Source organism: Homo sapiens, chromosome 17, assembly GCF_000001405.40.
Source record: "Homo sapiens chromosome 17, GRCh38.p14 Primary Assembly".
NCBI lineage: Eukaryota > Metazoa > Chordata > Mammalia > Primates > Hominidae > Homo > Homo sapiens.
This window is the reverse complement of record NC_000017.11, coordinates 32,241,085-32,257,074: the sequence shown is the minus strand read 5'-3', so window position 1 is coordinate 32,257,074 and position 15,990 is coordinate 32,241,085. Positions and strand designations below refer to the sequence as shown.

The 15,990-nt window shown below is 45.7% G+C and overlaps 1 long non-coding RNA gene across 1 annotated transcript; it reads right to left on the bottom strand.

Moving 5' to 3' along the window:
* Nucleotides 1–3,700: 3,700 nt before the first annotated feature.
* LOC124903979 (uncharacterized) lies at nt 3,701–13,591 on the bottom strand. The gene is made up of 2 exons (XR_007065709.1): nt 13,022–13,591; nt 3,701–3,990 (listed from the first exon to the last, which is right to left on the bottom strand). It is a non-coding gene; the product is annotated as an uncharacterized LOC124903979 (long non-coding RNA).

Genomic DNA, 15,990 nt, shown 5'->3' with positions numbered 1-15,990 from the left:
TGACTTGAGTAAGTCTCCCCTTCCACATGCCGGTATCTGTTCTCTGAATGAAAATCAGCGAAGCAGACTGAAACTGAGGGGCTGGCTCAAAGGGTCTGAAGGTGACCCATAACTCTTCAGCCTCGCCCACCATCAGGCCAGGTCAGAGGAGGAACGTGGCACTGTGCAAAATGGGGCCCAGTGGCTGACGTGGGCCGTCTCGGTTTGTTGGGCATCCTCCCCTGTGCAGCCAAAGCACGTGATCTGTCCTACAGCTGGGGTGGCCTGTTGTGGCTCCTTGGGGAGCTGTCCACGTCATCTGCAGAGAGATGAAATCAACCTGTCCCTTCTCCGTGAAGGACATCCTGCAACAGAAATGCACTTCCCCCAAACCCAGCTTCTCAATGTGGTCACTGTAGCTCTGGGCTGCAGCTCACATGCCTGGCTCTGCATACTCCAAAATACACAAGAACGGCAGAGGGGAGACGCATGCATCCAAGACATCATTAGCTGTGAGCAGCCTCATAGGCTGTGAGCCATGGGGTTAACCAGGCTCAGAGAAGGCCTGCAAAGCGGCAGTAAACATTCTGCTGGCTTGGCTTGGCTTGCTGCAACAATTTATATCCCAGGAAAAAAAGGGGCCAAAAGTCACGGAAATAACAGAAATGCTGAAGGAACTGGCACATTTGCCAGATGGTTCCTGGGGCACAATCGTATTTGCAGAGGGACAGTCTGCAGCGGAGGTCCTTTCATCAGAGAGCAAAGACTCTGGCTGACCGCTCATTCATTATCCCAGGACTCACTTGGAGGAGGGTGGTGGCTGGAGCACACCCACGCTTGTCCTTCCTTCCCGGAACCTTGAAGCTGTGGTTGCCTGAAGCTGAAGTGGCATTTGGGATTGGGCCTCTCCAAACACCCACAGCTCTGCTTCTTTAGACACCTGCCACCTGTGTCTCTTTTTCCCAACTTACACCAGCCAGTCCATTCTCCCAGCTGCCAGCTGTCATTTTCTCCTTAGTGCAACTGGTCAGATTTTAGTAAATAACACAGCTTGGGCTCTGACAATATGAATTCAGTTGTGCTGCCAGGGCCGAACTATGAGGCAGTAGGGACAAGGCTGGGACAGGCTAAGTGGGCTTGAAAATATGAATAACCCGGCTGGGCGCGGTGGCTCACGCCTGTAATCCCAGCACTTTGGGAGGCAGAGGCGGGCAGATCACGAGGTCAGGAGATCGAGACCATCCTGGCTAACACGGTGAAACCCCGTCTCCACTAAAAATACAAAAAAAAAATTAGCCGGGCATGGTGGCGGACGCCTGTAGTCCCATCTACTTGGGAGGCTGAGGCAGGAGAATGGCGTGAACCTGGGAGGCGGAGCTTGCAATGAGCCGAGATCGCGCCACTGCACTTCACCCTGGGCGACAGAGCGAGACTCCGTCTCAAAAAAAAAAAAAAGAAAAGAAAAGAAAAGAAAATATGAATAACTGGAAGGGCATTTAAAATTATTTGCTGCATTATCACAGAATTTTCAAGAACTCATTGCTTTGTCCTGGTATTGCATATGTCTGTGTTTGTCTTCCTCCATTAAACTAGAGACTTTTTTTTTTTTTTGAGACAGACTCTCGCTCTGTCACTCAGGCTGGAGTGCAGTGGCGCAATCTCAGCTCCCTGCAATCTCCACCTCCCAGGTTCAAGCAATTCTCCTGCCTCAACCTCCCAAGTAGCTGGAACTACAGGAGCATACTACCAAATCTGGCTAATTTTTTTGTATTTTTAGTAGAGATGGGGATTTACCATGTTGGCCAGGCTGATCTTGAACTGGTCTCAAATGATCCACCTGCTTCAGCCTCCCAAAGCCAGGATTCCAGGCATGAGCCACTGCGCCCAGCCTAAACTAGAGATTTTGAGCAGTAGGGAAGATGTCTGTCTTGGCTTTGCTACATTCTCCATGCGGATTGGTGGTTATAGCCTGAATCATGCTGTTGCCCCCAGAAACCTTGGTCATGGGGGTGATGGGGTGAGGGTGAGTGGACAGTCAACACAAAGGCATCACTACAAGCAGAGGCCCTATTCTTGGTGGTCAGTGCCTACCTCTGCATAAGGACAGTGTCATAGCAGCAGAGGGAGGCTGTGCGTGGTCAGCTACTTATTGAAAGGGTGCCCACCTATTAGAAGTTCTATAATTGTCCATTTATTGCAACTTCTGTGTTATATGATGACCTCCTTAAGGAAAGGATGTCTCTATAATCATCTTACTTTCTCTACATCCTAGTACCATGCTTGTCAGTGTGGCATTGAGGGATTTGGTGGAAAACATACATATTTATCCATTTAGACTTCCATTTGCATCTGGCAGGATAACTTTCAGCAGGCTGGTTAACCTCAATGAGCCTCAGTTTCCTTGGATTTAAATGAGGCTAATATTACCCATCTTGTGAGGATGTAGGTAAAAAGGATGGGACAGTACTTGGCACAGAGTAGCTCTCAGTAAGCATCCGTTCCCCATTCCTTCCCCGCCCAGGATACTCAATACATGGAGTTGAATAAATGAATAAATTATTTCAGAGATGAATACACTTTGGCATCTTTCTTGGATATATTCACACTCCCCAAAGCCCAAATATTGCAGTTAAAAAAAAAACATCCAACGGCCGGGTGCGGTGGCTCATGCCTGTAATCTCAGCACTTTGGGAGGCCAAGGCGCGTGGATAGTTTGAGGTCAGGAGTTTGAGACCAGCCTGGCCAATGTGGTGAAGCCCCGTCTCTACTACAAATACAAAAGTTAGCCAGGCGTAGTGGTGAGCGCCTGTAGTCCCAGCTACTCGGGAGGCTGAGGCAGGAGAATCACTTGAGCCTGGGAGGCACAGGTTGCAATGAGCCAAGACTGCACCACTGCACTCCAGTTTGGGCGACAGAGTGAGACCCTGTCTGAAAAAAAAAAAAAAAAAAAAACAACTAGGTAACCGAATTTGCAGGAGGCAGCCATCCTACAGCAGGGGCTAAAATGGTTTCCAGCAGATGGAGAAGCACCTCTGTTGTTTTCTAAAGGGAAATACATGCCTGTAATCCCAGCACTTTGGGAGGCTGAGGTGGGAGGATCATTTGAGCCCAGGAGTTTGAGACCAGCCTGGGCAACATAGTGATACTCCATCCTGACAAATAAAAAATTTAAAAATTAGCTGGGCACAGTGGCAGGCACCTGTAGTCCCAGCTACTCAGAAGGTGGAGATGGGGGGATTGTCTGAGCCCAGGAGTTCAAGGCTGTAGTGAGCTGTGTTTGCACCACGGCACTCCAGCCTGGGTAACACAGTAAGACCTTGTCTCAAAAAATAAACAAATACATAAAATAAAATAATGCAAAGAAACTACATCAGGAAACACGACTAGACGTGGTGGATCACGCCTGTAATCCCAGCACTTTGAGAGGCCGAGGCGGGTGGATCACCTGAAGTAAGGAGTTCGAGACCAGCCTGGGCAACATGCGGAAAGCCCGTCTCTACTAAAAATACTAATATCAGCCGGGTGTGGTCGCGGGCGCCTGTAATCCCGGCCACTTGGGAGGCTGAGTAACGATAATCGCTTGAACCCAGGAGGCAGTTGTTGCTGTGAGCTGAGATGGCGCCACTGCACTCCTGCCTGGGCGACAAGACCAAGACTCCATCTCAAAAAAAAAGAAAAAGAAAAAGAAAGAAACTACATCAGGAAACAATGCCACAGGACCTTGTGTTTGACCTCTTTTATTTCTCTGCTTGATACAGAAAGCACCCAGTTGGTACCTAATAAATGCACACTAAAGGCTTTGCCTCCTTAGAGGTGCTGGAGTAGCAAGACTGGCTGGGCGCCACATGAAGTCCTGGAGCCACAGTGTCCTCTAGTGGGAAAATGAGGCCATAGCACCCCACAGAGCTGACAGACACACAGTGCGGTGCCAGAGCTGGGCAGTTTCCCTAAAGTGACCTGGATTAGTCTCAGTGCAGGCGCCAGGGCAGACTTCCAGGGCTGTTTTCATGCCTAGAAAACAAAAAACAAACAAACAATACACTTTACAGGACGTGTTTTTCTGCACGTATTACTCAGAAAGCCATTGCAGCCACATTTGTTCCTTAAAATTAATTGTCAGTCAATTTGCGGGTCTAGGCGATAATGATAGGCTAGCATCACAGAAAGAAACCAGATATTTGCTGCCTCTGATGGAAGTATACAGCACCCCCTAAGTATTTTTGCTACAGAATTGAACGTGAATCTGTTCAAGTCTCTAGATCCAATTCACAGGAAATACATTGGTCATTAATGAATAAATATATTTAGAAGAGTATGTTGAATGACACCACAGGTATATGATCAGGAAAATCCATACCATAGGAAACTACAGGACAAATCACCTGGTTTCGTCAGCAATATATATTTGATCCTGACTTAAAAAAAACAAGTGAAAAAAAAAGACTTGTTTAAAGAGTTGGGGCGATCCAAACACTGTATATTTGATCTTAAGGAATTGTGGTTTTTTTGAGACAGGGTCTTGTTCTGTCGCCAAGGTTGGAGTGCAATGGTGCCATCAGGTCTCACTGCAGCCTCGACATCCCAGGCTCAATCAATCCTCCTACCTCAGCCTTCTGGGTATCTGGCACTACAGGCCTGCACCACCATGCCTGGCTAATTTTTGTATTTGTCGACATGGGGTCTTGCCATGTTGACCAGGCAACTCCTGAGCTTGAACTCCTGAACTTAAGCGATCTGCCTACCTTCACCTCCCAAAGTGCCAGGATTACAGGCATGAGCCAACATGCTTGGCCAATAGTTCATTTTTAAAGTGTGAAGATGGTATTGTGGTTTTGTTTTGTTTTGTTTTAAGATTCTTTATACTTTAGAGGTACACACTGAAGTATTTTCAGATGAAATAATGGGCTATCTGGGCTTTGTTCAGCATAATTCCAAAATGGGTGGGGGAACAATGAAACAGATTGACCATGTTAGTAAGTGTTGAAGTTCAGTGGTGGGTACATGTACATGAGAGATCATTATACTATTTACTCTACTTTTGTTTTTATTTGAACATTTTAAAAAATATTTTAAAAAATCCTTACTAAGGTACGTTTTACTTTAATTCTCTTTGAGAGCCCATAGGTAACACCTTTAAAAGCCTTATTTTGCTGCCTCTGTGAGAAAACTATTTGACAGCTTCTGTAGGATGGGGTGTTATAGATTGCTTTCACCAAGCACATCTGAGAAGTATGGTCAGAATCGGGTGAACCTCTATGCTTTAAAACTTGAGGGTCAGGTGCAGTGGCTCATGCCCATAATCCCAGGACTTTGAGAGGCAGAAGTGGGAGGATCGCCTGAGCTTAGGATGTTCGAGACCAGCTTGGGCAATATAAGGAGACCTCACCTCTACAAAAAAATTTAAAAAGCTGGTGGGGGGTGGGCGTGGGCCTCTAGTCCCAGCTACTCAGGAGGCTGAGGCAGGAAGATTGCTTGAGCCCAGGAGATGGAGGCTGCAGTGAGCCGTGATGGCGCCACTGAACTCCAGCTTGGGTGACAGAGACCCTGTCTCAAAAAATAAATAAAATGGCACCATTTGAAAGAGCTTCTGTTCTTTTATTTACCCCTGGATAATAGGGTGGGAAGAGGCCAACGACCAGTGGACAGGTCATTTAAGGGCGGCTTTGACAAATGCTCTGACTCAAGGAAGCCAGTTGCACCTATGCTCCTGGCAATCTCCAGACTGTCTGCATGACGCTCTCTCCTGAGCAGTAACTCCTGACCAGAACTTCCCAAGAAAACCTCAGCAAGTGTATAGGTGGATTAAGCACCTCCTGCCTCCTTTGCAACCACCATTCTCCCCTCTGCACCAGCTTATATAAACACAGCTGTATCAGCAGCCCTCCAGCTGCCAACTCTCCTAGAAGATATTTGGCATTTTCCTATTCTGGCTAAAAATAAGTCTCAGGCTCTCCTGGGCATCTGCAGGTGGAGTGCTCATTCTGCCATGCTGGAGTTTTCTTAAGATGCTGTAAGTAAGAAACATGGAATTACTTGTATCATGTTCATGGCAGAAGCTCTGCTCCTTCCCTTGGGAAATGGTCACAAGCATAATCAAAGCTGAAAGGAGCCCTTCTGCCTGTCCCTAAAGGTCTTCACTCACTGGGTACTAACCTCGAACATGGCATCTGCAGACAGAGGGCATGGGTTCAAGTCCCAGTCCTTCTGGTTAGCTAGGTCTGGGACAGGTTCCTTAAACTCCTTGAGTCTTAGTTCTCTTATAATGGGCATGATAGTAATATCTACACCTCTTGGTTATGACAATTAAATGGTATGTGAAAAGGGCTTTGGAAACAGCCCTATAAATGTGCTATTTTTTTTCCTTCTTCTTCTTCTTTTTTTTTTTTGAGATGGAGTTTCACTCTTATTGCCTAGGCTGGAGTGCAATGGTGCGATCTAGGCTCATCGCAACCTCCGCCTCCCAGGTTCAAGCGATTCTCCTGCCTCAGCCTCCTGAGTAGCTGGAATTACAGACATGCGCCACCACACCTGGCTAATTTTGTATTTTTAGTAGAGACGGGGGTTTCTCCATGTCAGTCAGGCTGGTCTCGAACTCCCGACCTCAGGTGATCCGCTTGCCTCAGCCTCCCAAAGTGCTAGGATTACAGGCGTGAGCCACCGCACCCAGTCTATTTTTTTCCTTCTTAATACACTCTCCCACCCACCCCCCTTGGACCAACAGGCTCTCATTTATACACTCAACAAACACTTGAGACATTTTAAGAAAAGAAAACTTCAGACCAATATCCCTCATGAACATAGGTTCAGACATTCTTAAAATGTTGGCAAGTCACCTCTAACATATATGAATAGGATAATACATCGTGACCAAATGGGGTTAATCTCAGCACAGCAAGTTGGTTTAACATTTGTAAATCAATGTTGGCTGGGCGTGGTGGTTCATGCCTGTAATCCTAGCACTTTGGGAGGCTGAGGCAGGGAGACTGCTTGAGCTCAGGAATTTGAGACCAGCCTGGGCAACATTATGAGACCTTATAATGAGATTTTGTTTCTAAAATGTCAGCTAGGCGTTGTGGCACACGCCCATAGTACCAGTTACTTGGGAGATTGAGGTGGGAGGATTGCTTTAGCCTGGGTGATCGAGGCTGCAGTGAGCCGAGATCAAGGCTGCAGTGAGCCATGATTGCACCACTGCACTCCAGCCTGGGAGGCAGGGATCCCATCTAAAACAAAACAGAACCAAAAACTATGTTATTTACCATATTAACAGACTGAAGAAGGAAAACTATACGATAATCTCAATAGATGCAGAAAATCATCTGACAAAATTCAACATTTATTTATGACAGAAACTCTGAGGTGGTTGCTGTCCCAGGAACAGCCTGAAGGTGGGCAAAGGGGGAAGGAGGGAGACCAGTAGAAGCCTAGTCCATCAATCCCAGCTAGAGAAAGATTAGGGAGATAATTGGATCATGACGGTGGTGAGAGGTGGCCACTCTCTGATTATCTTGAAGGTAGGCCCAACAGGATTTGCTAATAGAATGACTGTAGGGAGTGAGGGAAAGAAAGTATCCAATAAGGATGACTCGGATATTTTTGGACTGATCAACTGAAAAGCTAAAGTTGTGGTTAATAATGATGGGGAAGATGGTGGGCATAGCAGATTTTGGTGGAATAGATCAAAAGTTTAATTTTGGACATGTTAAGTTTGAGATATACATTCAGCATCCAAGGTAAGGTGTCTAATAGGCAGAGGATATATAAATCTAAAGATAAAGAGAGAGACCATATTTGGGCTCTAAATTTGGGAGGCTTCAGCATATAGTTGGTGTTTAAATTTAGGAGAGAAATAAAATTACAAAAAATCTGAGAAAAGACAGAAAAAAGGTGTCAAGGACTCAGCCCTGTGTCTCTTCACCATTAAGATATCTGATAGAGGAAGACAATCCAGCAAAGAAGCCCGGAAAATAGTGGCCAGTGAGGCAGAAAGAAAACCAGGAGATTGTGGAGGCCAGAAGCAGACAGTGTTCCGAGGAGAAAGGAAATGTGTCAGATGCTGTTGCTGAGGGTAAGATAATGGCTGAGATCAGATGCTGTTGCTGAGGGTAAGACGATGGCTGAGATCAGATGCTCTTGCTGAGTGGTAAGACGATGGCTGAGAACTGATTGTTGAATTTGGCAATGTGGAGGACATTGGAGACCTTTACAAGAGCAGTTTCGGTATGGTAGGGGAGGTAACAAGCTGGGAGGAGTGGCTCAAGACAGAATAGGAACATCAATCTCTTCAAAAATTCTTCCAAAAAATAGAAAAGGGGAGAACACTTCCCAACTCATTCTGTGAGGCCAGTATTACCATGAAAAGTGTTACTTGGGGCCGGGCACGGTGGCTCACACCTGTAATCCCAGCATCTTGGGAGGCCGAGGCAGGTGGATCACGAGGTCAGGAGATGGAGACCATCCTGGCTAACACAGTGAAACGCTGTCTCTACTAAAAATACGAAAAATTAGCCGGGTGTGGTGGCAGGCGCCTGTAGTCCCAGCTACTCAGGAGGCTGAGGCAGGAGAATGGTGTGAACCAGGGAGGTGGAGCTTGCAGTGAGCCAAGATCACGCCACTGCACTCCAGCCTGGGAGATAGAGTGAGACTCCATCTCAGAAAAAAAAAGAAAAGTGTTACTTGGATAACAAAACTAGACAGAGACATCACAAGAAAACTACACCGGCCGGGCGCGGTGGCTCACGCCTGTAATCCCAGCACTTTGGGAGGCCGAGGCGGGCGGATCACGAGGTCAGGAGATCGAGACCATCCTGGCTAACACGGTGAAACCCCGTCTCTACTAAAAATACAAAAAATTAGCCGGGCGCAGTGGCGGGCGCCTGTAGTCCCAGCTACTTGGGAGGCTGAGGCAGGAGAATGGCGTGAACCCGGAAGGCGGAGCTTGCAGTGAGCGGAGATCGCGCCACAGCACTCCCGCCTGGGCGACAGAACGAGACTCCGTCTCAAAAAAAAAAAAAAAAAAAAAAAGAAAACTACACAATGATACACCTTATGCTATAGATGCAAACATCCTCAACAAAATACAAGCAAACTGAATCTAACAATATATAAAAAGGAGTATATACCATGACCAAATGGGATTTTCCCAGAAATGCAAGATTGGTTCATCATACAAAAATCAATGTAATACACACACTGTATGAATGGAATAAAGGACAAAAAACAAATGATCATTTCAGTAAATGAAAAAAAGCACTTGATAAAATCCAATGTTGCTTCATTATAAATAAAACACTCAACAAACTAGGAAGAGAATTGGTTTAATCTGATAAAAGACATCTATGAAAGACCCACAGCTCAGCCTGGGCAACATGGTGAAACCCTGTCTACTAAAAAATACAAACATTAGCCGGAGGCTGCGTGCGGTGGCTCACCCCTATAATCCCAGCACTTTGGGAGGCCGAGGCGGGCGGATCGCTTGAGGTCAGGAGTTCAAGACCAGCCTGGCCAACATAGCAAAACCCTGTCTCTACTAAAAATACAAAAATTAGCTGGGCATGGTGGCACGTGCCTGTAATCCCAGCTATTTGGGAGGCTGAGACAAGAGAATTGCTTGAACCCGGGAGGGGGAGGTTGCAGTGAGCCGAGATTGCACCACTGTACTGTAGCCTGGATGACACAGCAAGACTTCGTCTCCGAAAAGAAAAAAAAAAAAAAAAACAGAATTAGCCGGGCGTGGTGGTGTGTGCCTGTGATCCCAGACACTTGGGGGCTGGGAGGCTTGCTTGAGCCCAGGAGGAGGAGGTTGCAGTAAACGAAGATCACACCACTGCACTCCAGGCTGGATGACAGAGCAAGACCCTGTCTCAAAAAAAAAAGAGAGAGAGAGAAAAGCCACAGCTAACCGACAACTTACTACTGAAAAGGCTGAATGTTTTCCCCCTAAGATCAAGAACAGAACAAGGATGTCTGCTCTTGTCGTTTGTACTTAACATTGTACTGGGGGGTCTAGGCCGGGCAATTAAAAAAGAAAAATAAATAAAAGACATATACTTTGGAAAGGAAGGAATAAATCTATCTCTAATTGCAGATGACATGATCTTATGTATAGAAAATCCGAGGCCTGGTGTGGTGGCTCACGCCTAATCCCAGCACTTTGGGAGACCAAGGAGGGAGGATCGCTTGAGCCCAGGAGTTGGAGATCAGCCTGGGCAACATGGCAAGACTGTGTTTCCGCCAAAAAAAAAAAAACAAAAAAAAAAAAAAAAAAGGAAAAGAAAGAAAGACTAGCCGGGCACAGTGGTTCACACCTGTAATCCTGGCACTTTGGGAGGCTGAGGCGGGCTGATCACCTGAGGTCGGGAGTTCAAGACCAGCCTGACCAACATGGAGAAACCCTGTCTCTACTAAAAATACAAAAAAACTTAGCCAGGCATGGTGGCACATGCCTGTAATCCCAGCTACTTGGGAGGCTGAGGCAGGAGAATCGCTTGAACCTGGGAGGTGGAGGTTGCGATGAGCCGAGATTGCACCATTGCACTCCAGCCTGGGTAACAAGAGCAAAACTGCAAAAAAGAAAGAAAGAAAGAAAGAATAAAAAAGCTGGGTGTGGTGGCCTGTGCCTGTGGTCCCAGTTACTGGGGAGGCTGAACTGGAAGGATCGTGTGAGCCTGGGAGGCAGAGGTTGCAGTGAGCCGAGATCATGCCACTGTACTGCAGCCTGGGCAACAGAGTGAAACCCTGTCATAAAAAAAGAAAAGAAAATTGAAAACATATGCCCATACAAAAACTTGTATATGAATGTTTGTAGCAGCATTATTGATAATAATGAAAAGGCGGAAACAACCCAAAATATCCATAATTTTTTTTTTTTTGAGACAGAGTCTTGTTCTGTTGCCCAGGTGATCTCGGCTCACTGCAACCTCCACCTCCTGGGTCCAAGTGATTCTCATGCCTCAGCTTCCCCAGTAGCTAGAATCACAAGCATGCACCACCACACCTGGCTAATTTTGTATTTTTAGTAGAGACAGGGTTTTGCCATGTTGGCCAGGCTGGTCTCGAACTCCAGCCCCAAGTGATCCGCCTGCCTTGGCCTCCCAAAGTGCTGGGATTACAGGCGTGAGTCACCGTGCGGCCCAAATATCCATAAATTGATGAACGATAAACAAAATGTGATATTTCCATACAATGAAACATTACTCATCCATGAAAAGGAATGGAATGCTGATACATGCTGATACAAGGTTCATACAGATGAACCTTGAAAACGTTATGCAATCTGAAAGGAGCTAGTCACAAAGATCCACATATTGTATGATTCCATTGATATAAAATATTTAGAAGAGGCAAATCCGTAGAGACAGAAAGTAGATTAGTGATTACCAGGGGTTCGGAGAAAGGAGGATTGGGGAGTGACTGCTAATGGGTACAGAGTTTCTTTCGGGAGTGATGAAATGAGATAGTGGTGACGGTTGCACAAGTTTGTGACTGTACTAAAAACCACTGAATTGTACATGCTAAAAAGGTGAATTTTATGGAGTGTGAGCTATATCTCAGGTTCTGAAAAGAGACAGAATAGGAGACACTGAGGAAACTCTTTCAAGCAAGCTATAAAGGGAACAGAGAAATGCGGACGAAGAGATTTTTTTTTTCAGATGGGAGAAGTAATGTTTGTTTGTTTGTTTGTTAATAAATCCAGAGGAACACAAATCAAAGATCCAAGAAAGGCAGGGGGAATTGCTGGAGGATGCAGACGACAGAGGCCAGACTCTAATGCGTAAGTGAAGGAGCTGCCTGTGGACAGTTTCTCTGTAGTCACAGAAGGGAAAATATAGCAGATATGTGCAAGTCCAGGTAGGTGGGCATGCACGGGATGAGAACTGGACGAGATTCTCTTCCAAGTGCTCTCCTTCAGAGAGCTTGGTCTGTTTTCCTTCAACATCTTGCTTATAGCCTCCTGTCTCAAAACATGCCTGCCAAGAAAGTACACTTGCTTCCAAGAAAACAAGCAAGAAAGCAAGCAAACCAATCCCCTAAAATCATCTACCCTGATAGTTTTATTCTTTTCTTTTCCTCAAGACAGGGTCTTGCTCTGTCACCCAGGCACAATCATAGCTCACTGCTGGCCCCAATAGCTTTAAAAAGTGAATTCCAACCAGGTGCACAATGGCTTATGCCTGTAATCCCAGCACTTTGGGAGGCTGAGGCAGGAGGACTGCTTTAACTCAGGAATTTGAGCCTGGGCAATCTAGCAAGACCTCACCTCTTCTAAAAATTTTTTAAAATTCGTCAGGTGTGGTGGCATGTGCCTGTAGTCCCAGCTTCTTGGGAGGCTGAGGTGGGAGGAGTGCTTGAGCCTGAGAGGGCGAGGCTGCAGTGAACTATGATCGTGTCACTGTACTCCCTGCTGGGCAAGAGTGAAACCCCACCTCAAAAAAAAAAAAATTCCATCTCAAACTGGTCATTCTAAGTTCTTTCAACAATGTTATTTATTTCTATGTTATTTTAATCTATTTTTGAAATTAAATTTTATTATCAAAGAGTAATACTTGCTCAAATAAAATCCAAAAGGTACAGAAAACAAATCTCTCTCCCACCTGTCCCCAGCCCTCCTCCTTGAGGCCAGTTTATTGTATGTCCTCTGAGAGGTAGTCTATGCATAACTGCATATTTATCCCTCCTCCCTTTTTTATTAATTAATTAATTAATTTATTTATTTTTGAGACAGAGTCTCGCTCTGTTGCCCAGGCCGGAGTGCAGTGTTGCGATCTTGGCTCACCGCAAGCTCCACCTCCCGGGTTCAGGCCATTCTCCTGCCTCAGCCTCCCAAGTAGCTGGGACTACAGGTGCCCGCCACCACATCTGGCTAATTTTTTGTGTTTCTTTAGTAGAGACGGGGTTTCACTGTGTGAGTCAGGATGGTCTCAATCTCCTGACCTTGTGATCCACCCGCCTTGGCCTCCCAAAGTGCTGGGATTACAGGCGTGAGCCACCGCGCCTGGCTCCCTCCTCCCTTTTTAAAACTGCAAATAGTATCCAGACTTACCTAGCGTTCTGCATCATGCTGTTGTCACTGAAGATACATCTTGGAGATTGCTTCATATCAGTACATACAGCACTGACACATTAGTTTTCATAACTGCCATGACATCATAGTCCTAAAACATGTTCACAGAGTCCTTGATACTTCTCCTTTCAAGAGGTGGCTCGATTCCCCTCCCCAAACATGTGTGCTGGACTTAGTGACATGCTTCTATAGAACAGAATATGGCAGAAGCAATGATGTGTGCCCTCTGAGACTAGGTCAAACAAGACAGTGCAGCTTCCTCCTGTTTTCTATGTCTTGGGTCACTTGCTCCAGGGTCAGCCAACTGCCATGTCATTCAAGCAGCGCTGTGAAGAGAGGCCCATGTGGTGAGGAGCTGAGGCCTCCTGCCAATGGCTAATGTGCTATCTTGGAAAGGGATCTCCCAGCCCCAGTCAAGCCTTCAGGTGACTGCAGCCCTGGTTGACAGTCTGAATACAATCTAATTAGTGACCTGGAGCCAGAATCACCCAGCTAAATTGCTCCCAAATTCCTGACCCACAGAGACTGTGAGATAACATGTTTATTTTAAGCTGCCAAGTTTTGGAATAATTTGTCATGCAGCTATATATATGATATATGATATATATGATATATGATATATCATATATCATATATGATATATCATATATTATATATTATATATATAATTTTTATATAATATATATCATAATATTATATATATTATATATATAAAATATATTTTTTTGAGATAGGGTCTTGCTGTGTCACTCAGGCTAGAGAGCAGTGGCACAATCTCAACTCACTGCAACCTCTGCTTCCTCAGCTCATGAGATCCTCTCACCTCAGCCCCCTGAGTAGCTGGGACTACAGGCGTGCAGTCCCATACCCGGCTAATTTTTTAACTTTTTGTAGAGATGGATAGAGACCATGTTGCTCAGGCTGGTCTCGAACTCCTGGGCTCAAGTGATCCACCCGCTTTGGCCTCCCAAAGTGCTGGGATTCCAGGTGTGAGCCACCACACCCCGCCAGCAATAGATAATTAAGATGCATGTTTAAGATAAATGTGTCCTATCTCCTCCATCATCCCATTTCAATAGGAAAAGCCCTTGGCCAGCCATAAAGCGTGTCATGAACATGAGGTACAACGCTTCCTATCCCATTTTCTCTCCCCAGCTTTCTGATGGCAACCAGCGCATACCTCTGAGTTTGTTCAAACCTGTTGCTCTCCAGTAACACAGTGTGGTCTGTGGGTCTTTGAGCCAAGTCTGTGCTGGCCCATCTCATATGCTCCCAGTTGATGACTTCCCCCAGAGATGTTGGTGTTTTCATCAGTACTTCCACCAGCAATTCTCTGGGTCGGTGTCAGAACCATGTAATAATAAGTTTTTGAAATGTTCAGGAAGTGAAGTCAGCTAAGAAACAAATTTGGCTTTATGAGCCCTTTCCCATCTCCACTGATCTGGGCAGGCCTCCCTGCAGTGTGGAGAGGACCTGTCAACTATATCCTGAGAATAAAGATTTCTTTTTTTAAAAAAAAATCTCATCTTTTCCCTGGAGTGGAAAGGCAGCTAATAGCATTCAGATATTTTGAGATGAAACTGTTACCATGGGAATGTTTCCATATCTCTCCCTTAATAATGATGGGTAGAAACAATGAACAGTACAGCTCTTAGAATTCTAGAGATAAAGGAAATAAGGGGGGAAAAATGAGAGCTGGAAAAACAGATCCCCCTAAAGGACTGCTTATCTCACTCAGAACTCTGCTCTGGTGCTCTCTAGGTGAATGTGGGGAGTTTGTAGGTCAGCGGTTTTTCTCCAAGGGTCAGGGTTCCCATATAGGAAGGAGATCAGTGATCCTGAGGTGGGTGGGGTGTGATTCTTCAGTAATTGCTGGTAAGGGGGTGAAGCTGGTCTGTCCTTCTGAGGCTCTGTGTGCAGGGTAGGGAGTGGAGGAGGAAAACTGAAGAGCTAACAAATTCAGATGCTTCTAAATACTTCTCCGTCTTTGTCCTGGCAAGAGGTCAAAGCACTTGAGGAACTCCTCCTCCCTAGGGCCTCAGACTGTACCCTGAAAGTAGAAGCATGCTGGCACACATTTTCATCTTGTAGTTCCAGAATTTCCTGTGCTGGACTGTCCTCTACAAGGGCTCAGGGATAATTTCTTAACCAGGAAGGCATCTCCTCCTCCATCCACTGTTTGAAGCACTGTAGGGGTCCCCTCAGGTCATTGTCAGCTGAGCTCCTGTTTCTCTAGGGCTTTGAGAAATCAAAGGACAAATGACTTGTTAATGAGCAAAATAATTTATCTCCTGTGACAGGCATTTTACCTTGTCTGCCATAGCCTCATACTCTCTCTCGGAAGGATTTATTTGCCTTTGTTGTTTTTACTTTTTGAGAAGGGTCATCCAAATAGAGCCATCCTGCCTATAAAATGAATGGGAATCCAACCCATTAGCTGAGAATTTAAGAACTCGTGTTGAATGTGTCAGGATAGGCAGATTGGGTATCCCCTTATTGTAAGCACCCCTTAAATCTCTCAAAGATGAAAGAAATGGATACCATCCCACCAAGCACCCCTGCACACTGTGAACTCACCTAAGGTGAGAACTGCCTGCTCACCGAAATCTTTATCTGTCAATTCCCCGCCTCCACCCCTGACCTAAGTTTGCTTGGAATGTCAGCATCTAGGGATTTCTTTTTGTTCTTGAGATCTTTAGTTAAAATACAACATAAGCAGCACTTGAACTGTTTCTTGGTGGTAGCAGCTGAAAGCTAATCTTTATAGGAATGTAGCTTAAGGAGCAGAAACCGTATTGGGTTGGGTGAACAACTAGAGAACTAAGTGTCTTCTTTCTCTGAAGCATCTACTGAAGCAATACATATGGTTGTCCCTGTCTCTCACACCCTCCGGAACCCGCATTTTCTGTTCTAAAATTTGTGATCCACAAAGAGAAAAGCAGTTTAAA